This window comes from Homo sapiens, chromosome 5 (assembly GCF_000001405.40).
Source record: "Homo sapiens chromosome 5, GRCh38.p14 Primary Assembly".
NCBI classification, from domain to species: Eukaryota; Metazoa; Chordata; class Mammalia; order Primates; family Hominidae; genus Homo; species Homo sapiens.
In genome coordinates this window covers 131,389,591-131,408,461 of record NC_000005.10, presented here as the reverse complement: position 1 = coordinate 131,408,461, position 18,871 = coordinate 131,389,591, and the positions used below count along the sequence as shown (strand labels likewise).

Genomic DNA, 18,871 nt, shown 5'->3' with positions numbered 1-18,871 from the left:
ATGGTTAACATGGTAAATTTTATGTTGTGTATATTTTACTGCAGTTAAAAAAATAAAGATCTCCTGGTTCTTTGGCTTTAGCTCAAAAAGGCTTTGGATCTCTGTAAAATTCATGTTAGTATGTAATTTGATTCACAATGATGCAGAATCAGTTAGACTTCTGTATGTTTTACTTTGTCCCTTTTGATCATTGTAACACCTCTTCGTCTGTTTTATACATTGCTGCATGAGTTATTTTCTTTCTTCTCTATCAGTCTATCCACAAGATCTCTGAAGAGATCAGGTGTCCAAGCTTTGGCCCAGCAAACACATTCTAGAAACTTCTTGCCAGAGAAGCAGCCATTCTCAGCTCAGGTAAGGTTGTTCAAAGCCAACAGCAGGTGGGAAAATAGAAGGGAAACATTATGGAAATCAAGTGTACATTAAGAATTGCCTTACAGTAGACTTGGACACACAGCTGAAAAATGAAAGTCAGACTCAATTGCCCGATGTACTTTTCTCTTTTCACATTTACATGCGTACTTGGGATAAACAATAATTGAGACCACCTGTGCCCAACACGCTATGCCAGCAAAAATTGTTGCCTTTAGTGAGATCTTGTTAAAAAGCAGGTGTGTGAGAGCCTGACCATAATAAGAATTGGAGACCCTAAAAGAGACCATGTTAAAAGCTCAGATTTTTCAGCAACTACTCAAGACCTCAAGACTGGGCTGTTTTTGTTCCTCAGGCAGCAGGAATTCTGCATGGCTCTATAAACCATAACACACGGGGTCCTTGTTTGCTTGAGGGCACTAAGATGATGACTGGTGTTTTATACAGAGCATACTTGCTGTGCATCGCATATAGCAGGGACTTAATAGTGGATGAGCAGATCATGAATGGCTTGAGAAAAGCCATTTGATAATTTCAACTGAAACCTCAGACACAAATCTTGATGTAGCATCGCATGTGGAAAACACCACGTGCCAAACCCTGTGACATGGACATTGGACTTTCCTAGCCTGCCAGGCGCTAAGGAAGGGGACAACCCATTGCAGCCAAGCCAGGAAGTCAATGAGAGGCAAACACAGCATGGTCTAGGATTAAACAAACCTCTTAGTGATCTCCTTGACTCAGAATCCAGAATGCAGGGCAGTTCTTTGACCTGCCTTACATTGGCACACTCGTCTTTCTGCTTGGCAGTTTGTGAACTGAGTAGAGAGTTTTCTCTCTTGTCTGCCAGTCACCTCTTGCAGCTCTCTGACATAATGAATAATCTGAAGGCAGGCAGGCACTTCAGTCTAGCTGAAGGCTGCTCTTGTGAAAGTTCCTCAGGCCCTTGGTGTTTCATAAAATGGGGGATTTGTAAGGACTAGTGAAAGAGAAAATCAGCAACATAGGCTTCTGATGAAACAGGTGGTAAAAATGCTCACATAATTACCATCTCCATTTTCCTTCTTAAGAAAAAAACACAAAGTAGAACTTCCAGAATAGGTTCAATTATCGGTTTATTCAGTAGACTTTTTTTTTTTTTTTTTTTTGAGACGGAGTCTCGCACTGTCACCCAGGCTGGAGTGCAGTGGCACAATCTTTGCTCACTGCAAACTCTGCCTCCCGGGTTCAAGCGATTCTCCCGCCTCAGCCGCCTGACCAGCTGGGACTACAGGCACCCGCCACCATGCCCAGCTAATTTTTGTATTTTTAGTAGAGACGAGGTTTCACCATGTTGGCCAGGATGGTCTTGATCTCCTGACCTCGTGATCCACCCGCCTCAGCCTCCCAAAGTGCTGGGATTACAGGTGTGAGCCACCACACCTGGCCATTAGACTTTTATTAGTTCCAGATTTCTATTTTACAGCCCCAGCCTAACAAGGGAGGAGAGAGGGGAGCTCAGCAAGTTCCGGCACAGGAGGAGCTGAGTAAACACAAGTCCTGTGATGGGCATGGGCTTTGCTTATGTGATCTAATTCTCACAACCATCCTAGAAAAGAGCTTTTACTCTCCCAGTTTCATAGATTATGAAACAGATGGTTGGAGATGATACATATCTTGCTCAAAGCCAAAGAGCTAATAACTGGGTATTCCCTGGAACACCCAAGGGTCAGGATGCAACACCTCCAGGGCACTTGAGCTCTCCTTCCTGCTCTCCACTTGTCATTTCAGCTGTCTGTTGGCCTTATCCTTCCCCATTACCAGCAGGTTTTCTTCACGTGCTGGGCTATAGTTATGTGAAGTGTCTGGGGTCATACAGGAACTGACCCCGCTCTACAAGCTGGAAATTCCAGGGAAGGCCTCACCCTAGCCTGCCCTCATGCACACACCTGTGGGGAGGAGAGAACTGGTTACTGTGACTGGCAGGCCCACCAGAACCCCACAGATTGGGGAAGCAATAGTTGCCCAAAGAAATGGATTTGGGGAATTGTTATAAGACAGGGAAACATAGGAACTCTTACAGGACAGAATGACGAACTGGGGTTAAGTCTGGTAAGTTACCTGCTGCCAGTGCTTATCTCTGTTGTCTCAAAGGGGACAGCCATTTACATAGGTCTCAGAGAGGCAGATGCAGAAAAGAGGAGTCTAAGCTACTCTGCTAGACTTACAGGGACCGTCTTCCTGGCTGTCACCTGGCTGGAGGGGAAAATGCCTGCAGCCTCAAATCTTTTGCTCATTAGGAGCCCAGACCCAACACTGTGTTCTGTGCCCTAGAAACTTAGGAAGATGTTGTATTATTTAAACCAAATAGTGTAGGCTGGACAGGGTTCAGAATGAAAGGCTTCAAACATTTTTTAATTTGAAAATAAGTACTAAAAATAGGCAGTTACCAAATGCCAGTAACAATCTAGCAGCAGTACCTACCCCAAGGTCCAGGCCACAGCAGACACCTTGTGGGCTTTGGGGAGGTCCAAGGCCAGAAAGCACATTCAGTGTCTGCTCCAAGTAGTAAGTGAGTCTACTCAGGCCCAGGCAGGACCACAACTCTACCTTCCCCGTCCTGTCCTTCCTGGAACAGAAAGAGCTCTTTGGCCTCATCTGGTCTATTTCTTTGATCCTCAAGGAAGCCATGAGCTCAAATAGAATTTAAATGCAAATTGTGTATTTTTGGTAATGATAGAAAAATAACTACTTTTAAAGCTTGTTAGTGCTTTAGCATGTTATAGCTCTAGGGTTTCAGAGAAATGAAGAACTTGACAAGCAGGAGTTCAAGCACAAGGTCAAGTTTCTCCTTACATTTTGCACTTGTACAATCTCAGTGCTGACTAGCAGCTTTATCTCTAGTGTCCTAGGAGATTTTATGGATTACATATACGTGAGAGATCATTTGGTATTTGGGTTTATTCAATGTGTATAAATGCCTCAAACATGTTTCTCTCATGGGAGTTGCAACCCTCCATCACTGCAACCCTCCATCACTGCCCACTGGTTTTCACCTCCCTCTCTGGCTACAACCCACCACAACAGTACATGTGTTAGTCTTTCTTGGTTTGTTTTTTGGGCTTGGGAGTTTTTTGGCATTAAAATGTGGTAAAATGCACATAACAAAATGTACTTGTCTTAACCGTTTTTAAGTATACAGTTCAGTAGCATTAAGGACATTCACGTTTTGCAGCCAATCTCCAAAACATTTTTACCTTGCAAAACTGAAACTCTATACCCATTAAACAACTCCACAATCCCCACTGCCCCTCTCCCTTGGCAACCATCATTCTACTTTCTGTGTCTGTGAATGTGACTACTCTAAATACCTCATATAAGTGGAATCATACTTGTCTCTTTGTGGCTTATTTCACTGGAAATACTGTCCTCAAGGTTTATCCATGTTGTAGCATGTGTCAAAATTTCCTTTCTTTTTAAGGCTGAATATTTTATTGGATGTATGAACGACATTTTGTTTATCCATTCATCTGTCAAGGACACTTGGGTTGCTTCCACTTCTTAGTTATTGAGAATAATGCTGCTGTGAACATGGGTGTACAGATATCTCTTTGAGACCCTATGCTCAATTATTTTGGTTATATACCCAGAAGTGAGATTGCTGAATCATATGGTAGTACTATTTTTAATTCTTTGAGGAAACTCCTTATTGTTTTCCATAGCAGTTGCATTATTTTGGATTCCCACCAATAGTGCACAAGGGTTCCAATTTCTCCACACCTCAACACCACTTGTAATGTTGTTTTGTTTGCATAGTAACTATCCTCATTGGTGTAAGGTGGTATCTCATGATTTTGATTTGCATTTTCCTAATGATTAATGATGTTGAGCCTCTTTTCATGTGCTTATTTGCCAACTATATATCTTCAAAGAAATGTCTATTCAAGTCCTTTGCCCATTTTTAAATCAGATTGTTTTTTGTTGTTGACTTGTAGGAATTCTTTATGTATTCTGGATATTAACTCCTCATCAGACATATGATTTGCAAATATATTTTCACATTCCATAGGTTGCCTTTTCACTCTATTAATTATGTTCTTTGATGCACATAAGTTTTAAATTTTGAGGTAGTCCAACTTGTGTATTTTTACTTTGGTTTCCAGTGTTTTCAGTATCATATCCAAGAAATCATTGCTAAATCCAATGTCAAGAAATTGTTCCCTCTATGTTGTCTTCTAGGAGTTCTATAGTTTTCAATCTAATGTTTAGGTCTTTAATCCGTTTTAATTTTTACATATGGTATAAGGTAAAAATTAGACTTCATTCTTTTGCATGTGGATATCTAATCCCAGCACCATTTGTGGGGGTAAAGAAACAAAACTGTCCTTTCTCCATGGAGTGGTCCTTGCACCCTTGACAAACATCATTTGACCACACATGGGAGGATTTATATCTGGACTCTCTATTCTGTATATTAGTTTATATGTTTGTCTTTATACCAGTACCACACTGTTTTGATTACTGTAGATTTATAATAAGTTTTAAAATTACAAAGGATGAAACTTACAATCTTTTTTCTTCCAACATTCTTCTTTATCAAGATTATTTTCACTCTTGAGGGTCCCTTGAGATTCCATATGCATTTTAGGATGGGTTGGTTTTTTCCTGCAAAAAATGCCATTAAGATTTTTTAAATATTTTTTATTTTTGTTTGTAGAGATGGGATCTCGCTTTGTTGCTGAGGCTGGTCTCAAACTGCTGGCCTCATGCGATACTCCCACCTTGGCCTCCCCAAATTCTGAGATTACAGGCATGAGCTGCCACACCCAGCCACCATTAGGATTTTGATACCAATTGCATTAAGTCTGTGGATTGCTTTGTGTAGTATCAACAGTTTAACAACAGTAAGTCTTCCGATCCAAGAACACAGTATGTGTTTTCATGTACTGATGTCATCTTTAGTTTCTTTCAGTAACATTCTGTTAGTTTTCAGTATACATGTCTTTTGCCTCCTTGGTTAAATGTACTCCTAGGTATTTTTTTTTAAATTTCTGATGCTAATGCAAACAATTGTTTTCTTAATTTCCTTTTCAGGTTTTTTATTGTTATGACACAACTAATTTTTTGCCTGTTGATTTTTATACCTTACAACCTTGCTGAATTTGTTTATTAGTTCTAACAGGCTTTTGGTGTTGTCAGGACTAATGGAATAATTAGGATTTTTCTACATATAAGATTATGTTGCCTGTGAAGAGAGATCATTTTACAACTTCTTTTCTAGTCTGGATGCCTTTTATTTCTTTTTCTTGCCTAATTGCTCTGGCTAAGACTTCCAGTATTTTGTTCAGTAGAACTCATGAAAGTAGACAACCATGTCTTGTTCCTGATCATAGAGGAAAAGCTCACAGTCTTTCACCATTGAGTATGATGTCTGCTGTGGGCTTTTCATATGTGGCATTTATTACATTGAGGTAATTTTCTTCTCCTAGTTTGAATGTTTTTATTGTGAAAGGGTGTTGAACTTTGTCAGATTTTTTTTTTTTGCATCACGTGAAATGATTATGCGGGTTTTTCTTTCATTCTGCAAATGGTGGTATCTTTATATTGAATGATTTTCCTATATTGAACCATTCTTGTATTCCAGGAATAAATCCCACTTGGTCATGGTGTGTAATCCTTCTAATGTGCTGTTGAAATCTATTTACTAGCATTTTGTTCAGGATTTTGCATTGCATTTTACTTGCTGCTTTCAAGATTTCTTCTTTGTCTTTGCTTTTTGATTATAATGTTTCTCAGTGTAGGTCTCCTACTTGTTAATTGAGCCTCTCATATTTATATTTCCATTTCATTCCTCAAAGCTGGGAAATTTACAGACATTATATTTTTCACATAAGGTCTTTTCCCCTTTCTCTCTTTCTTCCGTTTGAGACCCTTTTAATGTATATATTGGTTGGCTTGATAGTGTCCCTTAAGTCCCTTAGAAACTCTTCACTTTTCTTCATTCTTTTTGTACCTGATTCAGCACCTTCAAATGTCATGTCTTCAAGTTTGCTGATTCCTTCTGCTTCGAGTCTTCTAGAGAATTTTTCAATTCAACAATTGCATTTTTCAGCTCCAGAATCTGGCTTTTAAAAAAATTTCTCAGCCAGGCATGGTGGCTCATGCCTGTAATCCCAGCACTTTGGGAGGCCGAGGTGGGGATCATGAGGTCAAGAGATCGAGACCATCCTGGCCAACATGGTAAAACCCCATCTCTACTAAAAATACAAAAAAAAAATTAGCTGGGCACGGTGGCACATGCCTGTAATCCCAGCTACTCGGGAGGCTGAGGCAGGAGAATTGCTTGAACCCAGGAGGCGGAGCTTGCAGTGAGCTGAGATCGCGCCAGTGCACTCCAGCCTGGGCGACAGAAACTCTGTCTCAAAAAAAAAAAAATTATCTGTTAATATTCTCATTTTGCTCATAAATTGTTTTCCTAATTTTATTAAGTTGTGTTCTATTTTAGCTTACTGAGCACATATTTAAGATACTTGTGGTGTTTTTGTTTTGTTTTGAGACAGAGTCTCATTCTGTCACCCAGGCCGGAGTGCAGTGGCGCAATCTTGGCTTACTGCAACCTCTGCCTCCCAGGTTCAAGCAATTCTTCTGCCTCAGCCTCCTAAGTAGCTGAGACTACAGTCACGTGCCACCATGCCCAACTAATTTTTGTATTTTTTAGTAGAGAGAGGGTTTCACCACATTGGCCAGGCTGCCTTGAACTCCTGGCCTCAAGTGATACACCAGCCTCAGCCTCCCGAAGTGCTGGGATTACAGGTGTGAGCCACCACACCCAGCCCGACAGTTGTTTACATACTTTGTCAAGTAAGTCAGAGGTCTGTGTTCTTTAGGACTGATTTCTGGAGATTTATTTTGTACCTTTGAATAGACTGTGTTTCATTGTTTCTGTGTACACCTTGTGATCTCTTTTTGAGATGTGGTTATTTGAAGAAACATCCGCCTCTCCCAGTCTTTACCAGCTGGCTTTGTGCAGGGGAATATCTTCACTAATCAGCCTAGCTTAAAGGCTCAAGTCTTCTCAAGTCTCTTCTGGGGCTGTGTCTTCCCTGGGACCATGTGTGTGTGTTATTTTTGTATTACTTGTGTTTACTTGTATTGTACTTAGGTGTCACTTGCATTCCTCTTCTTGTCATCTATTGCCCCAAAGCATCCATGGATCTGGGAGCTGCCTGCTATTCTAGTTCTCCAGAGCACTCCCCCTCGGCTTTGCAGCCTCTAACCATGTGTCCAAAGTATGTCACTGTTCCTATCAGTACTCTGAGTCAGGAAAGACAGAAACTAGTCCCTTAAGCAGCCCTCAGACAAGCTAGAAAGTTACAAGCAAGCTCCACCTTTTTCCTTTAGTCCCAAGGGAGAAACTGGGACTGAGGCAGTTTCCTTTGACAATACCATGCTGCACCAGGGAAGCGGTGGAATAAAAGTGACCAAAATTTCATGAAATTTCCTATAACTTTGCGTATGTCTTGTTCTTGTTTAGACATTCACTTGGTTGCCGCAGCTTCTTAGCTGGTTTCTAGAGTTTTTACAAGATATTTTGGTCTGAATATTGTCTATACAGTGCTTCCATGGGGAAACGAGCCTGGAGCTTCCTAATCTGCCATCTTGCTGAATGTCACCCCCCTAATCCTTCTTGTTTAAAACATATTGTTATTTTGTTTTATATTACTGAATAAAATTAGTAGGATAAAGGGAGTGAAATGCAAATAGTATAGTATGGCATGAAATTAAAAGTCTCCTTATCCACTTCCCAAACCCCATTCCCACTTCCTAAGGATAACCACTTGTAGCCATTTGTCTTTTGAAGTCTTCTGAGGGTTACTTCCTTTAAATAACGTAAGTATAACTTCATTTCTTGATTCATCAACTTTGAATTATGCAAATGATTTTATGCACCAAAAGATGGGGCTTGTAACAGAATCCTTGTCCTCCTCCTTCCAGTTTTTGTTATATTTTTACATCTAAATATCTCATCTGTTAGAACTTCAAATGATAATTTTAAACATAACATGTATAGAGAGTTCATGAGTTCTGAATATGTATATAAAGGAGATTGACAGTTATATTCCCCTCCATTCCTTTAACCCTATACCATCTTCTGAATTTTGTTTTCTAAAATTTACATTTTGTTCTGTGGCTATAGTATTTTATGCTTTCACTTAAAAGGTGTTTAAATATATTTATAATGCACTGTACAAACAAGATATGTGATGAGCGCTAAATGAAATGCAATATTTGTCTCTAAAGTCATCCCTCTCAGATGACATTTCCTTTCTTAAATTTTACAGAACATATTTACTGAGTGCCTTCTGCATGGCCCATCCTGTTCTAGGCACTTGGAGTACACGCAGTAATTGCTCAAAATCATGTTATATCTTTGGACCTGTTTTTGGTTTAGACAAACCTATCTAGAATTGTCTTTCCTTTTTGTTTGTTGATGGTAAAATGTATGACACAGTTTGGATATTTGTCCCCACCCAAATCTCATGTTGAATTGTAATTCCCAATGATGGAGGTGGGGCTTGATGGGAGGTGTTTGGGTCATTGGGGCAGATCCCTCATGGCTTGGTGCTGTCTTTGCAATAATGAGTTCTTGTGAGATCTGGTCATTTAAAAGTGTGTGGCACCTGACCAGGTGCGGTGGTCATGCCTGTAATCCCTGCACTTTGGGAGGCCGAGGCAGGTGGATCACCTGAGGTCAGGAGTTGGAGACCAGCCTGGCCAACATGGTGAAACCCCGCCTCTACTAAAAATACAAAAGTTAGCCAGGTGTGGTGGCACGTGCCTATAGTTCCAGCTATTCAGGTGCTGAGGCAGGAAAATCGTTTGAACTCAAGAAGCGAAGGTTGCAGTGAGCTGAGATTGCACCACTGCACTCCAGCCTGGGCAGCAGAGCAAGACTCCATCTCAAAAAAAAAACAAAAGTGTGTGGCACCTCCCCCACAACTCTCTCTCTTGCTCATGCTCTGGCCATGTGATGCCCCAGAAGCTGAGCAGGTGCTAGCACCATGCTTCCTATAAAGCCTGCAGAAGCGTGAGGCAATTAAACCTCTTTTCTTTATAAATCACCCAGCCTTGGGTATTTCTTTATAGCAATGCAAGAAGGCCTAACACAATGTGTTAACTATATTACTAACATCTCAGCTTCAATGTCACTGTCTCAGCACGGTGATATTTTAAACTACAATTCCTCTCCTACATCCCCAGTTATTTATCCAGAGCACTTACCATTTTCTAATCTGTTACATAATTCACTTTATTTGGCTTAATGTCTTTCTGCATCCCCCCACTAGAATAAAAACTCTTGGAGGCTTAAGAAATTTGTTCACTGCTGTATCCTCAGTGTCTAAACAGTACCTGGGCACATAATGCTCGATAAAAAATGTTTTGAATGCATGGTATCTTCCTGCTATTGAATGGTATCCATTTAATCATGCTTCTTGTAAACAGTTGTTCTAAAAATCTCTCATTGTTTGTTCTAATTTGGATAGAATGCCTTCTAGGTTGGCTTCAGACCTAGAAATCCTGAGATTTAATTTTATTACTGGATTTGTTCTCTATTCTTGCAGAGTGTTTTCAGGATGGGTGTGTGGAAAGTAAAGCCATTCATTGCTAGTGTAATCATCTTTATTCTGCCATCTTACTTCATTGAGAGTATGGCTGTAGACAGAATTCTAGTTCAAAATAATGTCTTCTCCAAAGTCTGAGGGAAGTGCCCCCTTTTATTCCAGACCACAGTATTGCTGTTGAGAAATCTGGTAATCTTCAAAAGTTGAAGGGATAATCAGAGAAATAATTATTTCCCAGAGCTGAATATGAGAGTCTTCAGAACAAAACGTCCTTGAGGGCTGTGAAGTGAGAAAGTATAAATGTAAAAACAAATTTTTTGAAATTTCAAGAGACTTTTTTTTAAAATCTTTTTCCTCTGAAGAGCATTTTCCTTGCTTTTTGTAAAACTCCCGTTAATCACAGATTGGACTGCCTGACCCTCTACTGTGTCCTTCACAGTAGAATGAATATTTCCTAGATTCTTTTGTTGTTGTTGAGACGGAGTGTCACTGTGTCGCCCAGGCTGGAGTGTAGTGGCACGATCTTGGCTCACTGCAACCTCCGCCTCCTGAGTTGAAGCGATTCTCCTGCCTCAGCCTCCTGAGTACCTGGGATTACAGATGTGCACCACCAAGCCTGGCTAATTTTTGTATTTTTAGTAGAGATGGGGTTTCACCATGTTGGCCAGGCTGGTCTCGAACTCCTGACCTTGTGATTTGCCCACCTCGGCCTCCCAAAGTGTTGGGATGACAGGCGTGAACCACTGTGTCCAACCCTTAGATTCTTTTTTTAAAAGAGATAGGGTCTTGCTATGTTGCCCAGGATGGACCCAAGTCCTGGGCTCAAGTGATCCATCTGCCTCACCCTCCAAAGTAGCTGGGACTACAGACATGCGTCACCATGCCCAGCTGATACTTTTCTAAAATGTCTATCTGATCATACTAGTTTCCTATAGGAATATCAGATTGAAAAGAGGGAAGAAGGGACAAAGGACTGCTTGTTTCTGTTTCTGGTTTTAGGAGTAACAGATCCTTCTATGCTATTGGCTTAGATGGTCTGTGGCCTTAATTCCATTGTGCACAGATTGGATGTGGCTGCATTTAGAGAGGGACAGTCGAGTCCCTTATTAGGTACACTTACGCTGTACCTATCCAGAGAAAATCAGGTGAGCAAAACCTACATACACTTGTGAAAAATGATAATAGGACACAATGGACATTATGGACATTGGAAAGAGATTGAACTTAAAATTACCCCATTTGGAATCTGGGTGGTTTTGCCAAAAGACAGAAGCAGAGTGGTTTTTACTTCCTTTGCAGTATTTCTGAAAAGTAAAAACAGTTTTTTGCAGAAACCCAGAAACAGCAGCTGAAATGTTTTACATACTCCCTAAGGAAGCAGCGCCCAGCAGATGAAGCCCTGCGGGAGAGCACAGCAGCAGCGGAGGCTCTGGGGGAAGGCGTGGTGTCTAAGGCAAAGGACTCTGCCAGCTTACATATTTATTTGAAAGACACAGACATAAAAAGGATGAATATGTTTATATAACTTAAAGCAATGGTTAAGAAATAGGTAACTAGGTGAGGCTCTGAAGATTTTGAAAGAAGTGTGTTACTTGCTTGCTGCTCCTTTAAGGGAGAAAAACAAAACAAAAAACATTCCCATAAGCCTAGGAATTCTTTCTGGGCCCCCAAGGCAGGTTCTCAGCTGCATTTAACTGTCTAAAGCTACTGAACTCATGAGTTCTAGTGAGTTGTAAAAGCTCTAATGAACTCCATAGCTTGGATTTACAAAATAGAAAATCTGGGGGTTAGAATGAAGCACCGGCTTTACTTTTCTGCAAAGATTACCTTCTAATGAGATGAAAATCAGCTTTCTTCAATACCAAGATCACCATTCTTTGAGAACTTCCTTATAAGGTCCCAGATCAAACACTTGATCTTACTCAGGGAGTAACTGTTTTCTTTAGTAAATGCAAAGATTTTTTTCTTCTTCTAGGCATCAAAGGCAAACCAGATACAACATTAAGATGATGGGCATTAAAAAGATGAGGTAGGGGTCAAAATGAGCCTAGAGGTTGCATATATCTACAATAAAGTTTTTTTTTTCCTTCCTGCATAGATGGAGCAGCTCATTGAAAAACACTTTTATTTTTTCAAAGATTCAGGGTCTTGCTCTGTCACCCAGGCTGAAGTGCAGAGGCACCATCGTAAGTCAAGCTCACTGTAACCTTGAACTCCAGGGCTCAAGGAATCCTGGGACAAGGTATCAAAGGCAAACCCTCATAGTCTGAGAAACACTATGAAAACCAAAAGTTAAGGTGCTACAACATAAAAAGTCAGATGAAGATGAGTAATTTAATGGTTTCATTCTTACTGGACCATTCTAGATGGAGACAAGTAGAAGGTAAAGTTTCAATGACTTCTTTTAAGTTTGTGTATAGTGTACTTTAAGCCGAGGGCACAGAATTTCCTTCGTCTTTATCAATTTTGTAGATGTTTGCGTCTTCATAAATATTAGCAATTTCTAGACTCTGATACTCTATTATTTTATAGATATTTCTTTTTGTGGTTATGTGCCCCTCCTTCAACATTTTATGCATATCCTTTAAAAACATAAGCTCACAATGTAATTGCTCTTGGTCTACCAACATCAGTTTCTTCAGATACTTTTTCATAGTTGGGATTGTCAGAATTTTATTTTGCAAAGAACTTCATTTTAAGCCAATTTCTTTTTAGAATCTTTGGATATGGGATAAGGACAAAAGTTACCAGAAGTTTTGAAATAGTCTTTCCTAATATTTGTCTTTTCTGTTTTTAGAATGTTTTGTGGCAATTCTCATAAAACAAAACCTAACTCACCTATTCTCAGTATTCGACCAGCAGAACACCTCACTTACCTGTGCACATGATCTAATGCAACGAAGAGTCCCTAACAGGTTACACCTGGTGAGTATGCAGACGTAGAGATCTTCTTTGTCTTAAAACAGGTTTTAGCTGTGGCACGGACATTTTGGACCCAATCAATCTTTGTGGTGGGGGCTGTCCTGTACATCACAGCATATTTACCAGCATCCCTACTTTCCACTCCCCAGAGCCTGCACCACCCCCTCCTCAAGCTGTGATGACCAAAACTGTCTCCTGACATTGCTCTAATGTCTCCATGGGGAGCAAAATCACTCCCTATGGGAACCAGTGTCATAAACCATTTTAGAGGCAAACTACAAACTAACTCCCCAAACTGTGATGGTGGAAATAGTCTATAACTTCCTAATACAGCAGCTGATCACTACATGACACTGCTAAGCACCTGAAATGTGGCTAAGTATGAGGAGAATTCTTAATTTAATTTCATTTTAATTAAGTCCTACATATACTATAAGGACAAGATGCTTCATCATGGAAAGCTGTGTAGATATCTGATACCTCTGTTAAAAATCATGTGGTTGATAGGCAATAAAAACTTACAGAAAGGGTTTCACCATGTTGTCCAGGCTGGTCTCAAACTATCCACCCACCTCCATCTCCAAAAGAGCTGGGATTACAGTTGTGAGTCACTGCACCAGGCATAAATGTTTTATTAGTCCTATTTCTATCCATTTAATTTTCATTCTGACTAGGTATTTGTTAAATTAAGAGGTGAACTGTGAAGTTAAAGATTACAATGATAGAAATTTAAATTCTCTTTTAAATCAAAAAGTTTTAAGTTGTTTTTTGCATGATAGGAATCATGACTGAAAATATAAGAATGCAAAAAAGGTGCTCTAACTGAATTCTGGTAAATAATTCCTTCCTTGAAAGAAAAGAAAAACTAAACAAAATTTAAAGGAAAGGCCAACCAGGATTGAAAGAAAACATTTATTGAATCAAAATCAATACTTTCTTTTTAGTATCTACAAGCCAACACAGAACTCATTTTATTCAAGAATGAACACAATGTACAAAAAAAGTATGCTTATATTATAAAAATATGTCAATTTTATCTTCTGGGTGCTTAGCAGAAGTCATTTTAAACAAAATCAAGGCAAACTTGTTCTCTATAATGAGTCTGCTATAATTTAACAACAAAGTGAAAGCTAATGTACTTACGAAGTATTTTTAAAGGCCCACTGATAATGCTGCACTGGAAATGCTAAACCCAATGTTAACTAAAGTCAACATTTCCGCTCTACGCTTACTGGCACCACTTCATGCCTACATCATGGGAAAGTACCTCTTTTACAGAATGCAGATCACTGCTAACAATCCACATGACTAAGTCTTCAGTTTCCCTTGCTTAACATTTGTTAGCATATATTTCAGCAAAGATTAACAGTATAATGAATGTTGAGTAGTAAAATCCTATTTAATTCGCTTCAATTTAAAAATGAGATATGCTGCTATGGGGAACAAATGACCTCTTGAGATTTACAACCCCCTTTATAAAAGTGGGAAAGCTGCCTCCCTAAAAAAAATTATGTCCAAGGTTAATACCGTATCTTTTTTTGTAGTTTTCTTATTTCTTGATTTTATTGGCACCTCCCAGGCACTTTGGCATGTGCTCCTGTATAAAGTGTAGTTACTGTGCCTGTAGAGTTAGTGGCAGCTGCAGAGTAGTTATAGGCTGACAAGTCCACTTTTGGCTTACCATGGAGATCTGCTCCAACACATGCTGGTCGTTGGAGCAGCAAAAAAAAAAAAAAAAAAAAAAAAAACAGCGATTTGGAAAAAGACTAAAATCATGAGTCAGGGAAAAGGATCACGGCTTCCCGTACTATTGTTCCAGGAGTTATATGACAAGTAGAAAAATTGTACTAATTTAAAGAGTCAGTCAAAATAGAAGTAGACTAAATAGCATGAGTGCTGATAATGCCAAGAAAATCCAATCTCTCTTCTAAAGAGCTTGCACACAGCACATAGCAATGTCCCTGGCCAAGAAACTGACCGTGCCTGGCTGAGCAGAATGACAACAGTACTCAGGCAAATTCCACAATGCAACATCCACTTGGTGAATCAGTGACAATGGATGAATTCAACTTACTTTAGAAGTTGTTATTAAACAAACTGCAAAATGTCTACTCCGAAGATGCAAATGTTTTTCCTTGGCAGATCCTCTCTGTGCTTGGGATTGACACAAAGGCTCAAAACTGCAAAATACAAAGATCAAGTAATCTGGTGCCCCGCTGTACTGGGTAAATTAAATTTTAAAAAGTGGAGGAGAAATGCTTTCACATTTTACCTACATAAACCTAATGTTTGTTCAGTTGCCTGTTTTGCAAGAATCTTGGACTAAGGTAAATGAAGGCAGAAGATAAAGTGATCCCTGTTCCTTTATTCCAAGTTAAAGTTTTTAATTAAGCCCCATTTGTTATATGAAATGTTAATCCTACCAAATGTAGTTAGATAGGCTTGAATTGGACATAGGATTTAAACAAACATTTTAATGAGAACACAAACCACTGACTCTGGCTTAACACCACACTCTAACAGAAAAGAAGAAACCTTTACAGAAATATTTGAAATATACAAAATTCGTGCAAGGACAAACATATTTTAGAACCTGAGCAAAGGCTTCGTACAGGTTGTTTTCACTGGCAATAATTCAGCCAGGTCGGTATGTATGTTGCTCTTGGCAACTGATGTGGCCCCTAAAATAATATGTAGAGCACAGAAAGGCCAGTGACTCTGGAGGTCTGCAGTTAGTAGTACAGGCCAGAAGTTCAAGAAACTGCTACTGGAAACAACTGGATACCATAACATTAAAAAGAAGTAAAAATAAAAGAATGAGTGCACAAAGAAACGAACAGCTAATTAATAAGATGAAGATGCTCAGGATTGGACTGGAGGAGAGTATGACCGCAACACTCAGATACATAACCACACCTGTAACCACACCTGTTTACAACCACAGGTCCTTGCTCTCAAAATAAATATATTGAACATTTACAACAGAATGAATGCCTTATGAATGCAAGCTTTTCTTTTATTGCAATTCTAATCAATCAATCAAACAGACCAAAAGGTCATACTTCTAAAATAAGCTACAAGTAATCTTTTTCTATGAAAATGATGTGACTTGGTGCCACAGCTAAACTTTATCTAATAGCAGCATCATCAGCCCATGGCAGCAAAGAAATGTTAATTTCTGGCATCCCATGGGCTCTTACCGAAGCAACAACTTCATAAAGCATGCAGATATCTATTCTGCTGAAGTTTCAAACAAACAAACAAATAAAAATGATCATTGTGCTTGTGGGTCTCATACCTTCCAAAATATACATAAATGATGGCAAATTAACAAATAATAGCAGGTCCTTGCTTTCCAATAAAATCGTAAGGCAGGGGGTCGGCAGTGAAAAGAAAAATGTTTAAAATAGAAAAAAAAAACTGCAAAATGGTGTTAGCATTCACAAAAAAGATCATGCGAAGATCAGATCCATACTGATTAAACATTGAAAATTCAGTGACAATCCAAAGAACTCTGTCCATGAGTCCAAAGGCATGCATGCCAGCTGAAGGAAATGCAGGATTCGTCTGACAGTATCTTCTTCAGAGCAGAACAGTAACATCTCACTGGAATAATCACGACAGGGTGGACAAGGTGCCATCACACTTCTTTTTTGTAATTCAAAATAAAAGCAATCACAGGACAAAAAAAAATTACAGAATAGTGGACAGAGAAAATATAGAAATTCACAATAACCCTATAAAACAAAAAAAAACTTGAAATTATTTCTACATTTTCAGGGTTTATCCTTTTTCAAAGTAGTCTTTTTAATTAATTTGAAAAGTTTATAAACAATGAAGTCTTAACTGTAAAATTACTACCCAAGAGATTATCTTTAGTATCAGTACTTTTTTGAGACAGGGTCTTGCTCTGTCACCCAGGCTGGAGCGCAGTGGCGCATTCTCAGCTGACTGCAACCCCTGCCTCCCAGGTTCAAGCAATTCTCGTGCCTCAGCCTCCTGAGTAGCTGCGATTACAGGCATGCGCCACCATGCCCAGCTAATTTTTGTATTTTTAGTAGAGATGGGGTTTCACCATGTTGGCCAGGCTAGTCTCCAATTCCTGGCCTCAGGTGATCAGCCCACCTAGGCCTCCCAAAGTGCTGGGATTACAGGTGTGAGCCACCATGCTCGGCCTCAATACTCAAAATAATGATTTCACTCTTGTTTAAAGGACACATAAGAAGCATCTTGTCATCAGAATCCTCCCCAACCAGATGTTTTAAAGTATTTAAAGTTCTTAATAAGGAAAAGAACCTAAAACTTACATTCCAAGTGCAGAAACTACACTTAGCTGAGTAATTTTGCCTTTCCCAATAAGTTCACCATTAAAAAATTATATATATATACATATATTTACTATTATTGGCCTGGCCATGTCTGGCCGTCAGGTCCAGACCCCAGCTCTGAGTACTCACTGGAGAAAGGACCAGGGCTATCCCGCCTTCGTATCCACGAGCTGCATCTGGACATTGGCAGGCATTCCACCTCCATAACCTCCCTTGGACTGCATTTGGTTCTGAATGGAGCTAACCTAAAACAAGACAAAAATACAACAAAACAAAATGGAAGTCAGGAAGTAGGTCCGGTGCAACTAAGTAATTCTTTTCCCAGAATTTTATTTGGGCTGCTTTTTTCAGAAGGGTACTTTTATAGACAAAAATTTTTTTATAGACAAACAATTTTCTAGTTATAAGGACAAACAGGGAGGCTAGCAACTGAAACATTTTTTGCAAAAACCCCTATTTTCTCTATTTCCAAATTACAAAAGTCAGTTTTGTAATTCACAAGGCACTTGGTAACATTTGAAAAATGGTCAAAAATATATAGATCAACTCCACTTTCTTTTTTTTTAAGACAGTCTCGCTCTGTTGCCCAGGCTGGAGTGCACTGGCGTCATCTCAGCTCACTGCAACCTCCACCTCCCAGGTTCAAATGATTCTCCTGCCTCAGCCTCCCTAGTAGCTGGGATTACAGGCACACATCACCACACTCAGCTAATTTTTCTATTTTTAGGTTTCACCATGTTGGCCAGGCTGGTCTTGAACTCCTGACCTCAAGTGATCCGACTGCTTCGGCCTCCCAAAGTGCTGCGATTACAGGCATGAGCCACCGCACCCGGCCGATCAACTCCACTTTGTTTCTCAACCTCAAGTATCTTAATTTACAGATATCTCACATATATAATCACCTCAATTACTTAGTAAAGAATCAAAACCAAGAAAATAAGCATGAATAAAATTGGACCAACCAAAGATAAATCTTAAAAGTCTGTGTCAAAAAATGTACCATGTTAATATAGCCTGATAAAAAAGAATCAAAGAATCCAAAGACAGATATAGTCCCAGTTTATTTATTAATATTGTAACTGGGTAAACTATTTATCCTCTCTGAGTATCAGGCTTCTTATCTGTAAAAGGGTTAAGATGGTAATCTCTCCCGACCACATTGCAGGGCTGTTTCCTGATAGAGTGCAAGATATATGAAAATTGGGATATTTTCTTTTTGCTGAAACAAAGGCACATAAAGTCATTTGCAAACTGTGAAGTACTTTTAGCATATCATTATTATTCCAGTCTTAGTTCATATAAATTAGAAGCAGTCTGGAAGCAGAGAATTGGAGAGTCAGGCTAGACTGCTAGAAGAAGGAACACAAGCAATATGATTTTGGAGGTGATGGCCTAACTAGTGGAGAGAGAGCACTAGCAATGTGGTCGAGTATTTATTTCATGGAATCAGCTCAAAGGGCCCTGCACACTTCCACAATTTGGAAGGAACCGGGGCATCATCTATTTATCAGTCACCTGCTTATCAAATACTTACTGAGCACCTACTGTAACATAAGGCATGAAGGGTGAGGTGCTTTCCACTGGTGATTCTGAGTCAATATATTTAAAGTAAGACTTGTCTAACTCATTTTTTGAGTAAGTCAGGTT

The 18,871-nt window shown here is 39.5% G+C and overlaps 1 protein-coding gene and 1 long non-coding RNA gene across 13 annotated transcripts in view, besides 1 other annotated feature; one reads left to right on the top strand and one right to left on the bottom strand.

Annotated features, from left to right (window-relative positions):
• LOC105379173 (uncharacterized) overlaps positions 1-13,822 on the top strand; it is a 28,063-nt gene extending 14,241 nt beyond the window's left edge. For both annotated transcript variants that reach the window (XR_007058929.1, XR_007058930.1), the window contains exon 3: positions 255-13,822. This is a non-coding gene — a long non-coding RNA (uncharacterized LOC105379173). The remainder of the gene's footprint in view (positions 1-254) is intronic.
• Positions 12,240-12,439: an enhancer, noted in NCBI's record as "active region_23054". NCBI's record gives its function as "activates an Ori minimal core promoter by ATAC-STARR-seq in GM12878 lymphoblastoid cells {active_cell/tissue: GM12878}" and the evidence as "EXISTENCE:reporter gene assay evidence [ECO:0000049][PMID:35858748]".
• The window catches only part of CDC42SE2 (CDC42 small effector 2), a 184,621-nt gene continuing 179,539 nt past the window's right edge, over positions 13,790-18,871 (bottom strand). For 8 of the 11 annotated variants that reach the window (XM_047417396.1, XM_047417393.1, XM_047417394.1 and 5 more), the window contains 2 exons: positions 17,354-17,469; positions 13,790-16,633 (listed from right to left, as the gene is read on the bottom strand). In XM_047417396.1, the coding sequence (XP_047273352.1) occupies positions 17,371-17,469 (99 nt within the window). In that variant the 3' untranslated portion in view covers positions 13,790-16,633; positions 17,354-17,370. Of the gene's footprint in view, positions 17,470-18,871 lie in introns of all 11 variants that reach the window. The other 3 variants (NM_020240.3, NM_001038702.2, NM_001375635.1) reach the window with 2 other exon arrangements.